This window comes from Homo sapiens, chromosome 1, assembly GCF_000001405.40.
Source record: "Homo sapiens chromosome 1, GRCh38.p14 Primary Assembly".
NCBI lineage: Eukaryota > Metazoa > Chordata > Mammalia > Primates > Hominidae > Homo > Homo sapiens.
The window spans coordinates 171,431,247-171,452,500 of record NC_000001.11 but is presented as its reverse complement, the minus strand read 5'-3'; the positions used below and the strand labels follow the sequence as shown (position 1 = coordinate 171,452,500).

Here is a 21,254-nt window from a genome sequence, read left to right as displayed (position 1 = left end):
CACATAGACCAATGGGACAGAATAGTGAACTCATAAATAAGACTGGACACCTACAACCATCTGATCTTTGGCAAACCTGACAAAAACAAGCAATAGGGAAGAGATTTCCTGTTTAATAAATGGTGCTGGGATAACTAGCTAGCCATATGCAGAAAATTGAAACTGGACCCCTTCCTTACACTATATACAAAAATTAACTCAAGATGGACTAAAGACTTAAATGGAAAATCTAAAACTACAAAAACCCTAGAAGAAAATCTAGGCAATACCACTCAGGACATAGGTGTCGGCAAAGATTTCATGATAAAAATGCTAAAAGCAATTGCAACAACAGCAAAAATTGACAAATGGAATCTAATTAAAGAGCTTCAGCACAGCAAAATAAACTATCATCAGAGTAAACAGACAACCTACAGAATGTGAGAAAATTTTTGCAATCTATCCATCTGACAAAGGTCTAATATCCAGAGTCTACAAAGAACTTAAGAAATTTACAAGAAAAAAAGAAACAACCCATTAAAAAGTGGTCAAAGGACATGAACAAACACTTCTCAAAATAAGACATACATGTGACCAACAAACATATGAAAAAATGTTCAACATCACTAATCATTAGAGAAATGCAAATGCAATGCAAATCAAAACCACGATGAGACACCATTTCATGCCAGTCAGAATGGCTATTATTAAAAAGTCAAAAAACAGATGCTGGCAAGGTTGCAGAGAAAAAGGAATGCTTTTACACTGTTGGTGGGAGTGTAAATTAGTTCAACCATTGTGGAAGACAGTGTGGTGATTCCTCAAAGACCTAGAGGCAGAAATACTATTTGACCCAGGAATCCCATTACTGGCTATATACCTGTAGGAATATAAATTGTTATATTATAAGGATACATGCATGCATATGTTCATTGCAGCACTGGTCACAAGGCATGGACTCAACCTAAATGCCCATCAATGATATACTGGATAAAGAAAATGTGGTACATATACACCCTGGAATACTACGCATCCATAAAAAGGAATGAGATCATGTCCTTTGCAGGGACATGGATGGAGCTAGAAGCCATTATCCTCAGCAAACTAATGCAGGAACAACAACAACAAACAAATATATATATATATATATATATATATATATATATATATATATCTCACACACACATATATAACAACAAATATATATATTTAAATAAATAAATAAAATAAATAAAAACTAATGCAGTAACAGAAAACCAAACACCACGTATTCTCACTTATAAGTGGGATCTGAACAATGAGAACACATGGACGCATCACACTGTGGGGAACAACACACACTGGGTCCTGTCAGAGGTGGGGAAGGTGGGGAGAGAAAGCATCAGGAAGAATAGCTAATGGACACTGGGCTTAATACCTAGGTGATGGGATGATCTGTGAAGCAAACCACCATGACACACGTTTACTTATGTAACAAACCCGCACATCTGGCACATGTACCCCTGAACTTAAAATAAACCTTGAAAAGAAAAAAAAAGGAAGATATGTTTAATATACTAGCAAGAGTATCATGATCCTGAAAGTTTCACAGTGTTGATTATATCAATTAATACAAATGTTTTGGATAAGCAAGAGTATCATGATCCTGAAAGTTTCACAGTGTTGATTATATCAATTAATACAAATGTTTTGGATAATATTTATGAGGCTAAAGTGTGCAGACTGACTGATGACTTACTTTATAACCTTAACTACTGTTCCCTTGCTCCACCTTTTCATCCTCTTATTTCTTCTTTCTCTTCCTCTCCTGTGTCTTCCCAACTCCACAGAGTTGAAGTCATTTAGTCACTCACTCAACAAATTCTTTTTGAGTGCCAGGAACTCTCTTAAGCTTTGGAAATATAGCAGTGAACAAAACATACAAGATTTCCTTTTTTAAGAAATCTGAGGGCTGCCACCTTAATAAAGATATCTGAGGGCACCTCCCAAACTTAGTTTAGAAGTATGATTCCTGGGAAATAAAATTAAAAGAGAGAGAGGGAGGGAGAGAGAGCGAGCACCAAGATAACTTCACAAACAATGGGACAAATCCAGATCATGTGCCTCTTGATATGATGCACTGTCTGCAGTATTCCTGCCCAGAATGCATAACCTGAATCTGATCACAAGGAAATATCAGACAAACTCAAATTCAAATTGATGGACATCTACAGAGCAACTGGCTTGAACTTTTCTTTTTTTTTTTTTTTTTTTTTTTGTTGAGACAAGGTCTCAGTGGCACGACCATGGCTCACTGTAGCCTTGACTTCCAGGGCTCAGGCGATCCTTCCACTTGAGCCTCCTGAGCAGCTGGGACTGCAGACACACACAAACATGATGCCCATATTTTTTGTAGAGACAGCGTTTTGCCATGTTACCCAGGCTGGTCTCAAACTCCTGGACTCAAGTGATCCGCCAATCTCAGCCTCCCAAAGTGCTGGGATTACAGGCATGAGCCACTGCACCCAGTTGGTCCGAGCTCTTAAAAAAATGTCAACGTGAAGAAAAACAAAAATAAAGTTGAGGACATGTACCAGATTAAAGGAGACCAAAGACTACTTCATGCAATGCATAATGCTGGATTGGGTCCTGGATTAGGAAAAATAGCTATAAAATAAGCACTAGGACAATTGATGATATCTGAATATGGACTGTGAATTAGATAACAGCATTGTTTAGATGTTTCATCTTCAGATTTGGATAATTATTATATATTGCAATTACACATATCATATGTAATATATACAAAGAATACATAAAGTATAAAGTATATATATACGAGACAGGAGGGAAATGTTAAAGCAAGTGGGCCAAAGGGATAGAAAATAAACAACTGATGAATTTAGATAAAAAGTATATTAGAATTTCTTGGACCGGTGCGGTGGCTCATACCTGTAATACGAGTACTTTGAGAGGCTGAGGCGGGTGGATAGCTTGAGCTCAGGAGTTTTAGACCAGCCTGGGCAACATGGTGAAACTCCGTCTCTACCAAAAATACAAAAATTAGCTTGGTGTGGTGGCACGTGCCTGTAGTCTCAGCTACTTAGGAGGCTGAGGTGGGAGGATGGCTTGAGCTCAGGAGGTGGAGGTTGCAGTGAGTCGAGACCATGCCACTGCACACCAGCCTGGGCAACAGAGCCAGACCTTGTCTCAAAAAAGAAAAAAAAAGAAAAGAAAAAGAAAAAAACAAGTATATTAGAATTTCTTGACCTAGTCTTGCAAATTTTCTGTTAAGTTTGAATTATATTAAAATAAAATGTTAAACAATTTCCTGTCTTGGTGGAACTTACCTTTGTGTTTATGTGGGTGGGTGGGGTGGGATGTGGGGAGAGTTGCAATGTTTTTTTTTTGTTTAATTTAAAAACTTTATTTTTTAGAAAAGTTTTATGTTTACAGAAAAAACCCACGGAGCAGAAAGTACAGTCTCCACATACACCTCTCCTTAACACAGTTTCCTATATTATTAAACATCTTGTATTAGTATAATACATTAGCTGCATTGATGAACCAATATTGACACATTATTATTAATAATAATAATGTTTTAAACTCCATGGTTTGCATTATATTTCATTCTTGTGTTGTATAGTTTTATGGGTTTTGTCAAATGCATATTATTATTTACCACCGTTACAGTATTGTACAGAATAATTTCACTGCTTTCAAAATCCCTTGTTTGTCACCTATAAATCTCTTCTTATACTTTAACCCCTGGCAGCCACTAATCTTTTTACTACTTCTACAGTTTCGCCTTTTCCAGAATGTCATCTATTTGGGATCACACATCTGTGGCCTTTCAGACTGATTTCTTTCATTTAGAAATATGCATTTTCCTCTTTTTGTGGCATGATAGCTGCTTTCTTTTTATCACTGAATACTATTCCATTGTATGGATGTACCTTAGTTTCTTTATCCATACACATGTTGAAGGATATCTTGGTTGCTTCCATTTTTTGGGGGAGGGCAATTATGAATAAAGCTACTATATACATTTATGTACAGGTTTAAGTGTGAATGTAAGTTTTCAATTCATTTGGGTAAATACCTCGGAGTGCAATTACTGATCATATGGTAAGTTTGTGTTTAACTTTGTGAGAAATTGCCAAACTTCCTACTGAAGTAGCTGTGCCATTTTGCATTCCTACTGTCAATGGTTGAAAATTCTTGTTGTTCCACATTCTTACTAGCATTTGGGATTGTCAGGTTTTTGGATTTTAGCTATTCCAATAGGTGTGACACTGCATTTCATTATTGTTTTACTTTGCAATTCCTTCATAACATATGATGTGGAGCGTCTTTTCATGTGCTGATTTACCATCTGTATTTCTTCTTTGGTGAGATATCTGTTCACATGCTTTGTTCACATTGTTCAGATCTTTTATCTGCTAGAAGGTTGCAATTTTAAATAGTGTGGCCAGGAAAGGTCTCATAGAGACTTTTGAATAAAGATCTGAAAGAAGTGAGGGAACAAGTTGTTTAGAACTCTAGGGAAAAAACATTCCAGGCAGAGGGAAAACACCTGCAAAGGACCTGAGTCCGGAGTGTGCTTGGTATATTCTAGGGTAACAGGTGGCCAGTGTAGCATGAGGGATTGGCCAGAAGGAAAGTATGAGGAGATAAGGCCAGAGACAGTGGGCTCAAGCTTATGTGGCCTTGTGGATCATTAGGCCTTTGCTTTTATCTTGAGTGAAGTAGGAGACCAGAGGATCTTAAGCAGAAATTGAGGTGATCAGACTTGTGTTTAATAGTATATTCCTGTTGCTTCATTAAAAATGGGCCAGGCCGGGCATGGTGGCTCACACCTGTAATCCCTGCACTTTGGGATGCCGAGGCGAGTGGATCACTTGAGGTTAGGAGTTCGAGACCAGCCTGGCCAACATGGTGAAACTCCGTCTCTACTAAAATACAAAAATTAGGCAGGTGTGGTGGCATGAGCCTATAACTCCAGCTACTCTGGAGGCTGAGGCAGGAGAATGTCTTGAATCAAGGAGGCAGAGGTTGCAGTAAGCCGAGATCACGCCATTGTACTCCAGCCTGGGTGACAAGAGCAAAACTCTGTCTAAAAAAACAAAAAACAAAAAACAAACAACAACAACAACAACAAAACAGAAAGAAAGAAAAGAAAAGAAAATAGACCAAAGGCAGGTGGATGCAAAAGCAAAGAGACTGGTTAGGAGGCTATTGCAGTAATTAGGCTATAGGTGATGGTGACTATGCCCAGAGGGGTATTGATGGAAAAGATGAGAAATGATTTAATTTGATATATATTTGGAAGATGAGGGATTGGATGATGGGTGGGAGAGAAACAAAGAAATCAAGGATTGTTTCAAATTTGTTCTGTTTAATTTTAGTTCCCATAAGCAACTGAAAGAATAGCATTGATTATGCTCTGGTATCACAGGTCTATATAAGGCCTTCTTTTTTCTCTTTATTCCTAATGCCCATTCTGATTTTTTCTGTCTCTCTCACAGGCATCACCAGTATGCTTGGAAATTATGTATTGCTTAGAGTGTTTTAAATTTACACTGGTACTTTGATACAGATTTTGTTTTGTTTTCTATATTTTCCCACTTGACACTATGTCTTCAAGAGGTAGCTAGATAGCTGAATGTATGTCTGGTCCATTAATTCTGACCACTGCCCAGTTTTCAATTGAATACATATATCACATATGATGGAGTTCTGTCCCTGCCTATCATGTCCCATGTTTTTCCAGGCTTCTGCCACTACAAACAATGCTGAGATGCACATTCTCATATCTGTTCTCATGAATACCTGTGTGCAAGTTTCCTTGGAGTGAGATTTCTGGAACATATTAAGTTGCATAAATACTGGCAAGTCACTTTCCAGTGTGGCTTCCTTAGTTTGCAGTCCAAGATTACCCCATCCTCCCAATTCTTATGAATTCTTGACATTACTAAGCCTTTAAATTTCTGTGAAGTGGTATCTTATTGTTATTTTAACTTGAATTTTTTTCTCACTAGAGAGTTTGAGAATCTTTTTATAGATTCACTAGGCATTCAGATTCCTTCTTCTGTGATTTGCCTATTTTATCCTTCATCTAGTGTATTAGCTGTTCTTGCATTGCTATAAAGAAATACCTGAGACTGGGTAATTTATAAAGAAAAGAAGTTTAACTGGCTAATGGTTCTGCAGGCTCTACAGGAAGCATAACAAAGGCATCTGTTTCTGGGGAGGCCTCAGGAAGCTTTTGGTCATGGTGGAAGGTGAAAAGGGAGCAGGCATCTCACATGGTGGGATCAGGGGCAAGAGAGAGAGGGAGGTGCCACACACTTTTAAATGAGTAGGTCTTGTGAGAACTCAGTCGCTATCATGAGGACGGCACCAAGAGGATGGTGCTAAACCATTGGTGAGAAATCTGCCCCCATGATCCAGGGGCACTTCCTGCCAGGCCCCACATCCAACACTGGGGATTACATTTCATGGGCATGGATGCACATCCAAACTATATCATGTAGTTTTCTATTGGACTTCACGTCTTTTGCTTCTTGATCTACAGAATTTCTCTGTATATTCTACATAACAATTCCTGAGTTGCATAGGTGGCAAATATACTCTTCTAGGCTATCACTTGCCCCCTAACTTTATTTATGATAGTCTTCTTTGAAAAGAAACCCTGGTGTTTTTTTGTGCGTGTTTTTGTTTTTGTATTTAAATCCACAAATTTCCCCCTTTATGGTAAGATTTTCAGGCCTTTCTTACTAACACCTCCATTTCAAAGTCACAAAGATATTCTTCTCTACTTTCCTTATCTTCACTGATTTCCATTTCAGATGGAAGTAATCCATTACAGTTAACATTTGTATATGGTATGAGGCAGGAATACAACTGGGTTTTTCTCCATGTACTAGCTCCCCCAACGTCATTCACTAAAAAAAAAAAAAAAATCTATCCTTCTTTCTTCATTGATTAAAGATGCCATTTCTATGATATATGAAGTTTCAATATGCACATGGGTTTGTTTCGGGGCTCCTTATTTTGTTCTACTGATCTATTGATCTATTTGTTCTTTTTTTTTTTTTCTTCAGATGGAGTTTTGCTCTTGTCATCCAGGCTGGAGTGCAGGCTGGAGTTGCCCAGGCTGGAGTCACCACACGTGGCTAATTTTTGTATTTTTAGTAGAGATGGGGTTTCACCATGTTGGCCAGGCTGGTGTCGAACTCCTGACCTCAGGTGATCCACCTGCCTCGGCCTCCGTCTGATAGTGCTGGGATTACAGGCATGAACCACGGCCCCTGGCCTATCTGTTCTTGTGGCAGTATTAAATTGTTTTTATTTCTGTGAATGTGATTGATTTATCTTAATATTTGGTAGAAAAAGTCCTCTATCTTTGCTCTTCTTTCTCAAAATTAGTTTAGTTATTTGCGTCTTAGCTATTCTTTGTTCATTTCAGAATCAATTTGTCACATTCCCCTCAAAATCCAGCTGGAGTCCTGGAGAGTGGGCTGTCCCGCTTCCGAGTGGGAACGTTCATAGTGTCGTTGATGAGAGATTAAATATGGGTGATGTTGAGAAAGGCAGAAGACTTTTGTTCAGAGTGTGCTCAGTGCCACATGGACCCAATCTTCATGGCCTCTTTGGAAAACAGATGAGTTCACTGGATTCTCTCTCACAGACATTAGTAAGAACAAAGGCATCATCTGGGGGGAGGAGACACTGATGAACTATTCGGAGATTCTCAAGAAATATACCTTAAACAAAAATGATCTTCACAGGCATTAAGAAGGAGACAGAAAGGACAGACCTGATAGCTTATCTCAAAAAGCCCTAATAAGTAATAATTGGCTACTGCCTTATTACAAAGCAGAAATGTCTCATAACTTTTTTCTTTCTTTTAAGAGATAGGGTCTTGTTCTGTTGTCTAGGCTGGAGTGCAGTGGCACAACCATGGCTCACTGCAGCCTCAAATTCCTGGGCTCAAGCAATCTTCACACCTCAAGCCTCCTGAGTAGCTGGGACTACAGGCGTATGCCAACACACTTGGCTGATCTTTAATTTTTAATTTTTTGTAGAGACGAGAGTTTGCAGTGTTGTGCAGGCTGGTCTCGAACTCCAGGCCTCAAGCAGTCCTCTCACTTTGGCCTCCCAAAGTGCTGAGATTATAGGTATGAGCCACTGTGACCAGCCTCATGACTTTTTAAATGTGTGTCATAATTTAATTGATCTCATACACCAGAATTCAGATCATTAATGACTGACAGAATATTTTTGTTAGACAGTCCTGATTTAACTAAGTCTGGCTTATGGTTAAATGAATACAATTAGTTTCTTGAATTTTGATAGTAATTCCAATTCAGTAAATGTTCTCACTGTTTCCTCTTCTAAAGATAAGTTTGGACTTGATTAGTAATGTTCAACTTTTCACAAAGATGGAGAATGCCATCACAAAGCCTATTGGAAATTGATTTTATGTTTTGATTTATATAGTTATATAAATGAATATATGAATATATTTAAATACTGGGGAAATCCCTTCACTATCTCAGAACCAAGCAAGAATTACCTGTGTTTTAACTTGTGATCATTAGCCTGTTAAGGGCAAGGGCTGAAGATAAGGTAGCAATGTCTGCTTTATATTTTTGGTCTTAATTATGTCAATCTAATTAGAATTCCTGGTATCCAAAATGCTATTTTTATTTTCTTTCTTTGTTCTTCTTTTTTATTTTTTTGAGACAGGGTCTCGCTTTGTCGCCCAGACTGGAGTGCAGTGGTATGATAAACAGCTCACTGCAGGCTCAACCTCCCAGGCTCAAGCCATCCTCCCACCTCAGCCCCCGAGTTGCTGAGACTAGAGGCAGGCACCATCATGCCAGGTTGGTTTTTAAAAAATTTTATGTAGAGACTGGGCCTCACTTTGTTGCCCAGGCTGGTATGAAACTCCTAGGCTCAAGCAATCCTATTACCTTGGCCTCCCAAAGGGCTGAAATTACAGGAGTGAGCCACTGTGCCCTACCTAAAATTCTACTTTTCAATTGCTGAAAGGCATTTTAGTGTAATTTATGTGTAACACCAAATAAAGAATATTTATCACTTATAAGAAATTCAGGCCGGGCATGGTGGCTCGCACCTGTAATCCCAGGCCTTTGGGAGGCCAATCACAAGGTCAGGAGATCGAGACCACCCTGGCCAACATGGTGAAACACCATCTTTACTAAAATACAAAAAAAAAAAATTAGCCGAGTGTGGTGGTGCACACCTCTGATCCCAGCTACTCAGGAGGCTGAGGCAGGGGAATTGCTTGAACCAAGGAGGCAGAGGTTATAGTGAGCCGAGATCATGCCACTGCACTCCAGCCTGGCAACAGAGCAAGACACTGTCTCAAAAAAAAAAAAGAAGTTCAGGTGGAATTTTGATTGAAAATGTGTTATACATTGTTATTTTTAGAAGAGCCTACAGATTTCTACTGTTGAGCTATTTTATTTCTCCTTTCTTTTCTTTTTAAATTATTATGTTAAAACAGAAATGGGGGGGTCTTGCTATGTTGACCAGGCTGCTCTCGAACTCCCGGCCTCAAGCAATCCTCCCATCTCAGCCTCCCAAAGTGCTGGAATTACAGGTGTGAGCCACTGTGCCCAGCCTGTTAAACTATTTTATACATATAGTATAGCCATCTTTTTCAACTTCTTTTGTCTTTAAGAGATTTTTTTTTTAATTTTAATTTTTATTTTTGAGACAGGGTCTCACTCTGCCATCCAGGCTGGAGTGCAGTGGCGCCATCTTGGCTCACTCAACCTCTACCTCCCGGGTTCAAGTGATTCTCCTGCCTCTCCCATGTAACTGGGATTACAGTCACGTGCCACCACACCCAGCTACTTTTTGTATTTTTAGTAGAGACGGGGTTTCATGTTGGACAGGCTGGTCTCAAACTCCTGGCCTCAAGTGATTCGCCTGCCTCGGCCTTCCAAAGTGCTGGGATTACAGGCATGAGCCACCGTGCGCAGCCTTTTGTCTTTAATAGGGTTTTAAGGGTATTTTTAAGGCTCTTCACTGTGAAAATTATTAGAGTTATATTTAAAGACACATTTATGACGGAGCGCAGTGGCTCACGCCTGTAATCCCAGCACTTTGAGAGGGCGAGGCGGGTGGATTGCGAGGTCAGGAGATCAAGACCATCCTGCCTAACACGGTGAAACCCCGTCTCTAGTAAAAACACAAAAAATTAGCCAGGTGTGGTGGCAGATGCCTATAGTCCAGCTACTCAGGAGGCTGAGGCAGGAGAATCACTTGAACCTGGGAGGCAGAGGTTGCAGCATTCCAGGCTGGGTGACAGAGCAAGACTCTGTCTCAGAAAAAAAATAGTAATAATAATAATAAAGATACATTTACAAAGGTGTAATGAATATTTGGAAATTGTCTACATGTCTACTAATAGAGGAATGGTTAAATAAATAGAAAACAGATTGATGCATGCATTTGCGGAAAATCACATTTAAATCACACTTTCAAAGAATGTTTAATGACATGAGAAAATATTGTTATACTGTTACATTACTTGATGAGATTACAGGGATTTAAACAGTCTTTATTACTTTATTATAATTTGTAGGATATGTCCCAAGTTTTCTGAAATAAACATGATTTATTTTTACAATTTTTTTTTTTTTTTTGGAGACAGAATCTCACTCTGTTGCCCAGGCTGGAGAGCAGTGGTGCAATCTTGGCTCCCACTGCAACCTCTGCCTACTGGGTTCAGGCGATTCTCCTGCCTAAGCCTCTTGAGTAGCTGGGATTACAGGCAAGCGCCACCATGTCTGGCTAATTTTTGTATTTTTAGTAAAGATGGGGTTTCACCATGTTGGCCAGGCTGGTCTCAAACTCCTGACCTCATGATCTGACTGCCTTGGCCTCCCAAAGTGCTGGAACTACAGGCGTGAACTACGGTGACTGGCCATAATTTTTTTCCTTTAAAGAAGTTGTTGGAAGCAAATTAAGTTTTGTATTTGTCATCTGAGTCTATTACAGGAATATTGGGAAAACGATTTCTGACTCATCTGATGAGCTCATCAAGCAATAAATAATAACTCACATGTAAATTTTCTAGCTTGACTTCCTGCCTCCTCCATCTGCTAGGACTCCTTACAGTTTGTTAGGCCACCTGACTCAACTAAGTATAAGTAAATGAAATTTCACACATTCATTTTTTTCTTGTTACAAATATTTAATAATCTGCTGCTATGTTCCAAGTACTCTACTAAATCCATTAAAGATAAAGGAATCACTTAAATTTTCTCTGTCCTAACGGGGCTTAGTACAGTTGGTCCTCTGTTTCTATGGATTCCAGATCTGTGGATTCAACCAACCATGAGACAAAAATATTTTTTTAAAAAAGAAAAAAGAGGAAAAAAATGGTTGTGTCTGTACTGAGCATGTATAGACTTTTTTCTTGCTGCTATTTCCCAGACAATGTAGTGTAACAACTATTTACATACTATTTACATTGCACTGGGTACTATAAGTAACCACGAGATGATTTAAAGTATATAGGAGGATATGCAAATACTATACCATTTTATTTTATTTTATTTTATTTTGAGACAGAGTTTTGCTCTTGTTGCCCAGGCTGGAGTGCAATGGTGCGATCTCAGCTCACTGCAGCCTCCACCTCCTGCGTTCAAGCAATTCTCCTGTCTCAGCCTCCTGAGTAGCTGAGATTACAGGTGAATGACATCACGCCCGGCTAAATTTTGTATTTTTAGTAGAGACGGTGGTTTCATTGTATTGGTCAGGCTGGTCTGGAACTCCTGACCTCAGGTGATCCACCTGCCTCATCCTCTCAAAGTGCTAGGATTACGGGCGTGAGCCACCGTGCCTGGCCTACTATACCATTTTATAGGAAGGACTTGAACACTGATACGGTTTGGCTCTGCATCCCCACCAAAATCTCATCTTGAATTGTATTCCCATAATTCCCATGTGTTGTGGGAGGGACCTGGTGGGAGATAATTTGAATCATGGGGACGGTTTCCCCCATACTGTTCTCATGGTAGTGAATAAGTCTTATGAAATCTAATGGTTTTATCATGGTTTTTGCATCTTCCTCATTCCATACTGTTCTCATGGTAGTGAATAAGTCTCACGAGAGCTGGTGATTTTATCATGGTTTTGCATCTTCCTCATTTTTCTCTTGCTGCCACCATGTAAGAAGTGCCTTTCGCCTCCCACCATGATTCTGAGGCCTCCCTAGCCATGTTGAACTGTAAGTTCAATTAAACCTCTTTTTCTACCCAGTCTTGGGTTTGTCTTTATCAGTAGCATGAAAACTGACTAATACCAACATCCATGGATTTTGGTATGGATGTTCAAGTCCCTCATATAAAATGAGGTCCAGAAACCAATCCCCCATGGATACCAAGGGATAACTCTGTGACATATAAAGATTCAGGATTTGGCTGTCAAGTTCAACCATGCCAACTCTCAACATTTCTGTGCTCCAGCTACCCCAGATTATTCCCCCCCTACTTTTCTCATGCTGTTTCCTCACTTGGAATTCCTTTCTCTTCTTATCCACCCATAAAAATGCTACTTATTAGCTGAGTATGGTGGTGCACACCTGTCGTCCCAGATCAGATACCCAGTAGGCTAAGGCAGAAAAATCTCTTGAGCTCAGCAATTCAAGGCCAGCCTGGGCAATATAGTGAGAACCCAGCTCTGGAAAAAAAAAAAAAAAGCTTATATTTCATACAGTTTTGTGAGAACTTCTCTGATTCTCCTATTTCCTCTAACATTCCATGAGCACTTCAAATGTAGCTCTAACTTGGCACATTCTTCCTGCTGCTTTGTTTTTGTTTGTCGTTTTTTTCCAAAAGCAAAGATGATGGCATGATTGCTGTCTGCATTAAATACTGCAATTATGATCTTAGTGAACAGGAAAAATAGAAATTCAAGCACCTATATTTTTGAACAACACACTCCACACAATACTTTTACCATTGCTATATTGGTTAGTAGATGGAAAAACTGAATATTGGGGAAAATTGTCCTGGCAATCTTGGGCAAGTACAGGACCCTGCTGGCTATAGACCACTGTACCTGTTTAAAAGTTCCTATCAAAGAGACTTGCTGGTTTCATTGAGGCTAAGGGGTGATTTACAGAGACTTTAGGAAATTAATGGACCACAAAAATTCAGAAACCAAAAGAGGCAACCTAGCAGGAGACGAGCAAACAGGACCCGATAGTGTCCCTGAGGGCTCTGTCCACTTGAGTAAATTATATCTTATTCTTATTTCCACGGGTTACCTTCCAATCACCAAGCTTTGCTCTATAGGACTGTGTTCTCCTGAGGAGGTGCCTCTTTCTACTTTGCACAGAGAGGCTGAGTAAGTTCCAGCTGCCCCTGTAAGCAGAACAGGTTTCATTCCTTTTCCCAGGCTCCCCCATCAGCTCACTCTTCTTCTATGATGAGGAGTGGGTGAGGGGATTATGGGGAGGCAGGCACTGTTCCTTCTATATTTCTCCTCCCTGGGATATGCAGTTAAAATCCTTTCCACCTTTCTTGACTACATGAAGAATTTCCTATGTGGAATTCCCACCTATAATCATCTTATGTAGTTCTGACAACCACTTGGTGGTATTCTTACTCTCATTTTATAAACTCATGGTAAGTTATGCTGAGAAAATGGAGCCAGCAAGAATTGACTAATCATTCTGGAATTTTGGATGAAATGAGAAAAAGTTTGAGGTGCAAAGTCAGAGGCCTTTTTTTTGAAGGAGAGACTTGAACTTGTTTAGAGGACAGTAGTTCTCAAACTTGAGTATGTATCAGAATCACCTAGAGAGCTTATTAGGCCTTAGTCAGCTGGGCTGCATGCCCGGAGTTTCTGATTCACTAGATCCGGGGTGGGGCAGGAAAATTTGCCTTTCTAACACATTCCCACATGATGCTGATGCTGTTGAGACCTCACTCTGAGAATCTGTTATAGGCTAAGTCAAGGAAGGCAAAATATGGCTGACTGCCTGTTTTTGTATCACTCCTGAACTAAGAATGGATTTTACATTTTACATCTTTGAAAACAATATTTTGTTCATGTGAAATATGAAATTAAAATTTCATTGTCCATAAAGTTTTATTGGAACACAGCCACACATTTATTATATATTGTCGATTGTTTTCATGTTGTAACAGCAGAGTTGAATAGTTGTGACAGAGATAGTAAGGCCTACTAATACAGTTTAGATATTTGTCCCCTCCAAATCTCATGTTGAAATATAATCCCCATGTTGGAGGTGGGGCCTGGTGGGAGGTGACTGGGAAATGGAGGATCTTTCATGAATGGTTTAGCACCATCCTTTTGGTGATACGTTAGCTCTTACTCAGTTCACTTGAAATGTGATTGTTTAGGCTGGGCACGGTAGCTCACGCCTGTAATCCCAGCATTTTGGGAGGCTGAGGCGGGCGGATCACCTGAGGTCAGGAGTTCAAGACCAGCCTGGCCACATGGTGAAACCCTGTCTCTACTAAAAATACAAAAATTAGCTGGGCATGGTGGCATGTGCCTGTAATCCCAGCTACTCAGGAGGATGAGGTAGGAGAATTGCTTAAACCTGGGAGATGGAGGTTGCAGTCAACTGAGATCGAGATTGTGCCTGGTGATAGTGCCTGGGATCACTCCAGCCTGGGTGACAGAGCAGGACTCCATCTCGTCTCAAAAAAGAAAAAAAAAAGTGTGGTTGTTTAAAAGAGTGTGACAGGCTGGGCACAATGGCTCATGCCTATAATCCTAGCATTTTGGGAGGCTGAGGTGGAAGAATTGTTTGAGCCTAAAAGTTTGAGACTAACCTGGGGCAATATGGTGAGACCCCATCTCTACAAAAAAATCAAAAACATTTGCTAGATGTGGTGGCTCAAGCCTGTAGTTCCAGCTACTCAGAGAGGTAGAAGGATTGCTTGAGCACAGGAAGTTGAGGCTGCAGTGAGCCCTTGATGGCACCACTGTATTCCAGCCTCGGTGACAGATGGAGACCCTGTCTCCAAGTAAATAAATAAATAAAATAAAAAAGTATGATGCCTCCTCATTCACTCTCTTGCTGCCACTCTCACCATGTGACATGCCTGCTCCAGCTTTGCCTCCCACCATAAGTAAGAGCTCCTTGAGGCTTTACCAGAAGCACGATGCTTGTTGTACAGCCTGCAGAACAGTGAGCCAATTAAAGCTCTTTTATTTAAGTTACCCAGCCTCCAAAATTTCTTTATAGTGCCCAATTTCTTTATAGTGGCAAAAATTTCTTTATAGTAAAAACAACCTGACACACCTACAAAGCCTAAAATATTAACTATGTGATACTTCACAGAAAAAGTTTGACATCCCCCAAGGAATGCAGTTAAGAAAGAGGAATATCTTCTTCTCTAAAATTGGAGATAAGTTGGTGAGAATTAGGGAGAATCTAGGTAAAATTATAGGTATGTGACTTGGTTGAAATTTGATGAAGGTCACTTGATAGAAGTGAAAAGAGAGGGGAGTTGATAAAATTGGCTAAGGTTTAGATTAATCTTTAAAGCGGAATAGGAGAAATTGCTAAAAGACCTCATTGAGGTTGAGGGTTGTTAATTTTTAGCGGTACATTTGCATAATGATTATCATTTTATTCAATTGTGCTTATTGTCCCAATGTAAGAGTAGAGAAGGCAATTGTAGAATTGACCCAGAACTTAAAGATAGGTATGCCTTGGAATCAAGGCTGTTCATGAAAAAATTGTGCATATGATCCACTATATAAGAGTATCCTGTGTTCAGAAGGAAAAGAGGTTGGGAGAAGATTGGGAGAAATGAAAGAATAAGAAGTAGAAGAACAGTCTTGTGAGAGTCAAAAGGACTGTCTAGTGGGTGCTTGAAAGATGAGAGTCCTTGTCAGAGGATGAGTTATTATAGTTTGGAATATAATTAATGGATTAATAAAGTAATTCCAGATGATGACATGGTTCAGAAATGATCACAAGAATGAGTAGCTGAATGAAGGAGAAATGGTAATTAGTGAAGTTGCAGGCATCAAGAAACTAGGAAGCTAAAGTGTTAGAAGCGTTATCCACTGAACATTGAAAACTACCAAGTATTCCAAGAATGCAAGCATGTAAAATATACAGATGTCAGAGAAAGAATAACTCTCAAAAGGACAGTGACACTTCAAGGAGAGTGAAGGCCTGGAAGTGCTATTAGGAGTGAGGAAAATCTTAACCTCACTTACCCAGCTTTAGGTATATAGGATGGGGAAAAAAACATTAACGAGACTATAGGGGAAATGTTCTTGAGTCGAAGCTGAGTCTTAATCATGACTAGGAATTCAGGTAGTATTCTATGAGTTTGGGATGCAAAGAGGGTACAGGTATAGGAGGGAAGGAATAATAAGGCAATATGGGAACGAGGGTATTGGGAAAAATCCGTTTTTGTTCCTGGTCATTTATGCCAACTCTGTAATATCTGGTGTGGTTGAACAATTATAATGGCCCCATGTGGGATGGCCCTAAGTCTCAAGATGGAGTCAGATGGTGAGGTCTGGATGCTGAGGCTAGTGCAGTTAAAGGACTTAGATTGAGAGTTGTGGACCTTATCTCGTAGGAGTTTTAGGCTGATGCAGGCTGAAGCCTGGTAAGTGAGGATTTCATAGTGAAGAATTTCCTTAATTACTCAATTGACAAATGATTATTAAATAACTAGTTATGTTTCAGGCAATGTAAGATACTTAATGAACACAGAAATGAATTAATACAGGATTGCTGTCTTTGTGTATGTAAAAAGTTTAGTGTAAGAGTATGATAAATGAACACAATGTAATATTAACTTTTTTTCTGTTAAAATTTACTTATTTGTTCATTTATTTATTAATTTTTGAGACAGGGTCTCACTTTGTCACCCAGGCTGGAGTGCAGTGGCATGATCTCGGCTCACTGCAGCCTTGACCTCCCAGGCTCAAACCATCCTTTTGCCTCAGCTTCTGGAATAGCTGAGACAACAGGTGTGTGCCACCACACCTGGCTAATTTTTGTATTTTTTGTAGAGACAGGACGGGGTTGGGCCGTGCAATCTGCCTGCCTCGGTCTCCAAGAGTGTTGAGATTACAGGTGTGAGTCACTGTTCCTGGCAAAATTTACTTTTTAATATCATTTTATATTATTTGCCTGCACTGTGAAAAACAGCAGACAGAACAATGTAGAATTAAAAGTGTAGTGGAGGGACACGTGTGAGTTAATGGGAGGAGTACACACCCCATTTGAAATAAAGGAAAGCTTCCTGTTTGAGGTCTTCATTGAAACTTAAGAGATGATTTGGATTTAGGCCAAGCTGGGTAGAATGGAGGTGCTGAGAGTTCAGGAAGAGGAAATGGGAGATTGTAAGCAAAATGAAAGTGTAAATGTCTAGAGTTTTCAGGGAATGGGCATATTTACAAATTTGTTTAGAATGTTGGGGTGGAATGTCTTATGGCTGGAAGAGTTCAGAAATGAGACAGGCGCTCTAAAAGCGAAGTTTGGTCTTTTTTCATGAGGGTTTTGGTGAGTCACTGAGAATTTTTAAGCCAGGAAATGACATGATGAAATTACTTTTTTTTTTTTTGAGACAGAGTCTTTCTGTATCACCCAGACTGGAGTGCAGTGGCGTAATCTTGGCTAACTGTAACCTCCACCTCCTCGGTTCAAGCAATTCTCGTTCCTCAGCCTCTGGAGTAACTGGGAATACAGGCACACGCCACCATGCCCGGCCAATTTTTGTATTTTTAGTAGAGATGGAGTTTCATCTGTTGACCAGGTTCGTCTTGAACTCCCTGCCTCAAGTGATCCACCCGCCTCAGCCTTCTAAAGTTCTGGGATTACAAGTCTGAACCACTGTGCCCAGCCCAAAGTTACCATTTAAGAAAGTTTATTTTGGCCGGGCATGGTGGCCCATGCCTATAATCCCAGTGCTTTTGGAGGCTGAGGCAGGCAGATCACTTGAGGCCAGGAGTTCGAGACCAGCCTGGGCAACATGATGAAACGTTGTCTCTACTAAAAATACAAAAATCAGCCAGGCATGGTGCCACATGCCTGTAATCCCAGCTACTCAGAAGGCTGAGGCATAAGAATCGCTTGAGCCTGGGAGGTCTAGGCTGCAGTGAGCCGACATCTTGCTACCGCACTACAGTCTGGGTGACAGAGCAAGACTCTGTCTCAATAAAGAAAAGAAAGAAAGAAAGTTCATTTTGGTGGCAGTATGGAGAATGAACTGAAACAAACACTCCCCTCCCTAATTACTCACAATACAATACTTGGCACTTTAATTGTAGCATTTCTCAAGCGCTCTTTTATATTAAAGATGTTTGTGTAAACTGTCTTCCCTACTACTTTATGAGCTCTCAGGTGCCAGAAAGCCTGTTTTATTCAAAGGCATAATATCTCCTCTCATTACTTAGGATTTTCTTCAATCTACTAGATCATCAGTAAGTGCTTGTATGAATATCAATATACTCTTTTATAGACAGCAATCTTTCACATTTAATTGTTTCCCTGTTCCTCAGGCCCTGATTCACTCTTCCCTAGAGTGAGAAATCAACATCATTTCTTGTAGATATGGTACCCAAAATCAGGATTGACAATCTGACAAAATATATTTTTCTTTAATTTTGAATTTATGTATATATCAAGTCTGCAAGAATTAAGTTACATTTGGTTATATATTTTTGTTTTCATCCAAAAGAGGAAGATTATATAAAACTGGGACTGCTTTGGGAAGCCTAAGATGCATGGTTTCTATGCTTTTGTACATCAGGGACTTGGAGAGAACATGATGAGGTCACCTGTTTTGTGAGTTGAGGCGGTGTGATCTGCGTTCCCCAAGTCTGAATCATGTTGAATAAACTGATCATTAACTTTCCAGACTATAATCCTTAGAGAGCAAATTTGGAGTACAGAGTGGTCAGCAGTCTTAACACTTCTTTTCCTGACTCATCTGAATAGTCAAATAGGAGAGAATAGAAATATATATTGCTCTGCATGGGTGTTTTTTGTTTGTTTGTTTGTTTTGTTGTTGTTGTTGTTTTTTTTTTTGACGGAGTCTCGCTCTGTCGCCCTGGCTGGAGTGCAGTGGCACATCGGCTCACTGCAACCTCTGCCTCCTGGGTTCAAGCGATTCTCATGTCTCAGCCTCCCAAGTAGCTGGGATTACAGGCATGTGCCACCACGCCTGGCTAATTTGTATTTTTAGTAGAGATGGGGTTTCACCATGTTGGTCAGGCTGGACTCGAATTCCTGACCTCAAGTGATCCACCCACCTCAGCCTCCCAAAGTGCTGGGATCACAGGTGTGAGCCACGGCACCCAGCCTCTGCATGGATTTGAGGCCTATGTGCCTTCTCAATTCATAAAACCTGTTCTCAGACTTCTGAGGTGTTATCACTAGGGATTTCCTAGACTGAATTAATCACCTATTATCAAAAGCAATATTAGGCCTGAACGATATTGCTGATGTTAAGCCTTGCACCTGCAAAATGCTCAGAGTTTTTGTGGTTGAAATTTTACCCTAGGAGCCCAGATAAAATGATACTTTGACCTCAAAGACCTCCTCTGTTTCTCCTGTGGGACATTCCAGACAGCCTTATCCCCTCTGCCCCTAGTCCCTCTCTAAGATTACTTGCCATGGATTTCTGAGTTTTCTAGTTTTCTGTGTCTTATTTTTTTCTATCAGACCATCAGCTCTATGAGGCCACAGGCTCAGTCACATTTGCATTTGTATCTGTAGGGACCAAGGGAAAACTTGCCCTTAGCCCTTTGAAGTTTCTCTGAAGCTGGGCACTTTGGGAGGCCAAGGCAGGAGGATCGCTTAAGGCCAGGAGTTTGAGGCCAGCCTGGGCAATGTAGTGAGACATCATCTCTACAAAAATTTAAAAAAATTAGCCAAGTATAGAGGCACAATGCCTATAGTCCCAGCTACTAGGGAGGCTGAGGTGGGGGAACTGATGGAGGTTGCAGTGAGCTGAATTCAAGCCACTGCTATCCAGCCTGGGAAGCAGAGTGAGACCCTGTCAAAAAAGGAAAGAAAAGAAAGAAAGAAGGAAAGAGAGAGACAGAAAAACAGAAAAAGAAAAAAATACCATGAAGTTTTCTGAAAAGCAACTGACAAAATGTAGATTAACAGGAGAAAAGGCACGCAAAATCTATTAATGTGCTGGGCACCGGGGGAGAATCACAGGGTGATCACCCAACAACTCAGTGGTACAGAAGCTTCTGTACCCTGTTTCATGGGGTTGGGGGAGGGATGGAGGAATGAATAGGCCCAATGCTCAGACTATGGTTCTCTGTGGGAGCTGATTGGGAGTAACTCCAAAGTTGAGAGGCATAACAAAGGTTTTTTATTATTATGTAGATGAAGCCCCTCAGGTAATCTCTTGAAGCTGCCCTCAGAAAAACAAATGAAAATTCTGTCTGGACATGATGAAGACTCCTGGTCTCTTCTATTCTCTGGTGGTTGATCTTTCCTGGTCATTTGATGAGATTTTCTAGGGAGGGAGTCTTAAAACAATTGCATTTCTTTTGGAAAGATGCTTTCTTAATCAGATAAGGAAATTCCCGAGAGAGTCCCTTCTGGTGGCTTGGAAAAGAGGACTAGAGAGACCAGGCGTCGGGGAAAAGTGAGAGAGAGATTTTGGTTCTGAGACCTATTCTGATGAAATGGATAGGAGGCAGGGAAATACTGGATAGAAGATGGCAGCCCCAGGGAGGGCTCCACCCTCAAGCCTGGAACTTCGGCCCAAAATGAGAACATGCATTCTTGTTTTCCTACTTGAATGTTGCTTTTTGGCCTGCCCCGCCCCTGATCTTGTACCCATAAAAACCCCAGGCTCCACTGGCAGAGCAGCAGAGCGGAACAGCAGAGAAGGAGGGAAGAGAAGAAGCAGCTGAACATTGGAGAGAAGCAGCTTGACTTCAGAGGGACAACTTGACAGCAGGACTTTGGAGAAGAGTTTGGCCAGGGATGGAACTAAGCTGGCCGAACTCCAAGGGAAGACTACCTTCCCACTCCATCCTTCTCACTCCATCCCCTTTCTAGCTGCCCATCCTGCTGAGAGTCACTTTCATAGGCAATAAAATCCCCCACATTTACCATCTTCAATTCGTTCATGTGACTTGATTCTTCTGCATGCCGAACAAGAGCTTGGTATACAGACAGCTGTCACACTGAGCTGTTAAGCACTTAAGCCATTTGTAGACAGCAAAGTTAAAAGAGCACACTGTCACACGTACCCTCTGGGGCTCTA

General features: G+C 40.5%; 1 pseudogene, besides 1 other annotated feature; it reads left to right on the top strand.

Moving 5' to 3' along the window:
- On the top strand, positions 7,538–7,817 carry CYCSP53 (CYCS pseudogene 53; annotated as a pseudogene).
- Positions 20,004–20,657: an enhancer, noted in NCBI's record as "OCT4-NANOG-H3K27ac hESC enhancer chr1:171400983-171401636 (GRCh37/hg19 assembly coordinates)". NCBI's record gives its function as "activates a minimal SCP1, AML or CMV promoter by ChIP-STARR-seq in naive and primed H9 embryonic stem cells {active_cell/tissue: H9 hESC(naive and primed)}" and the evidence as "EXISTENCE:reporter gene assay evidence [ECO:0000049][PMID:30033119]".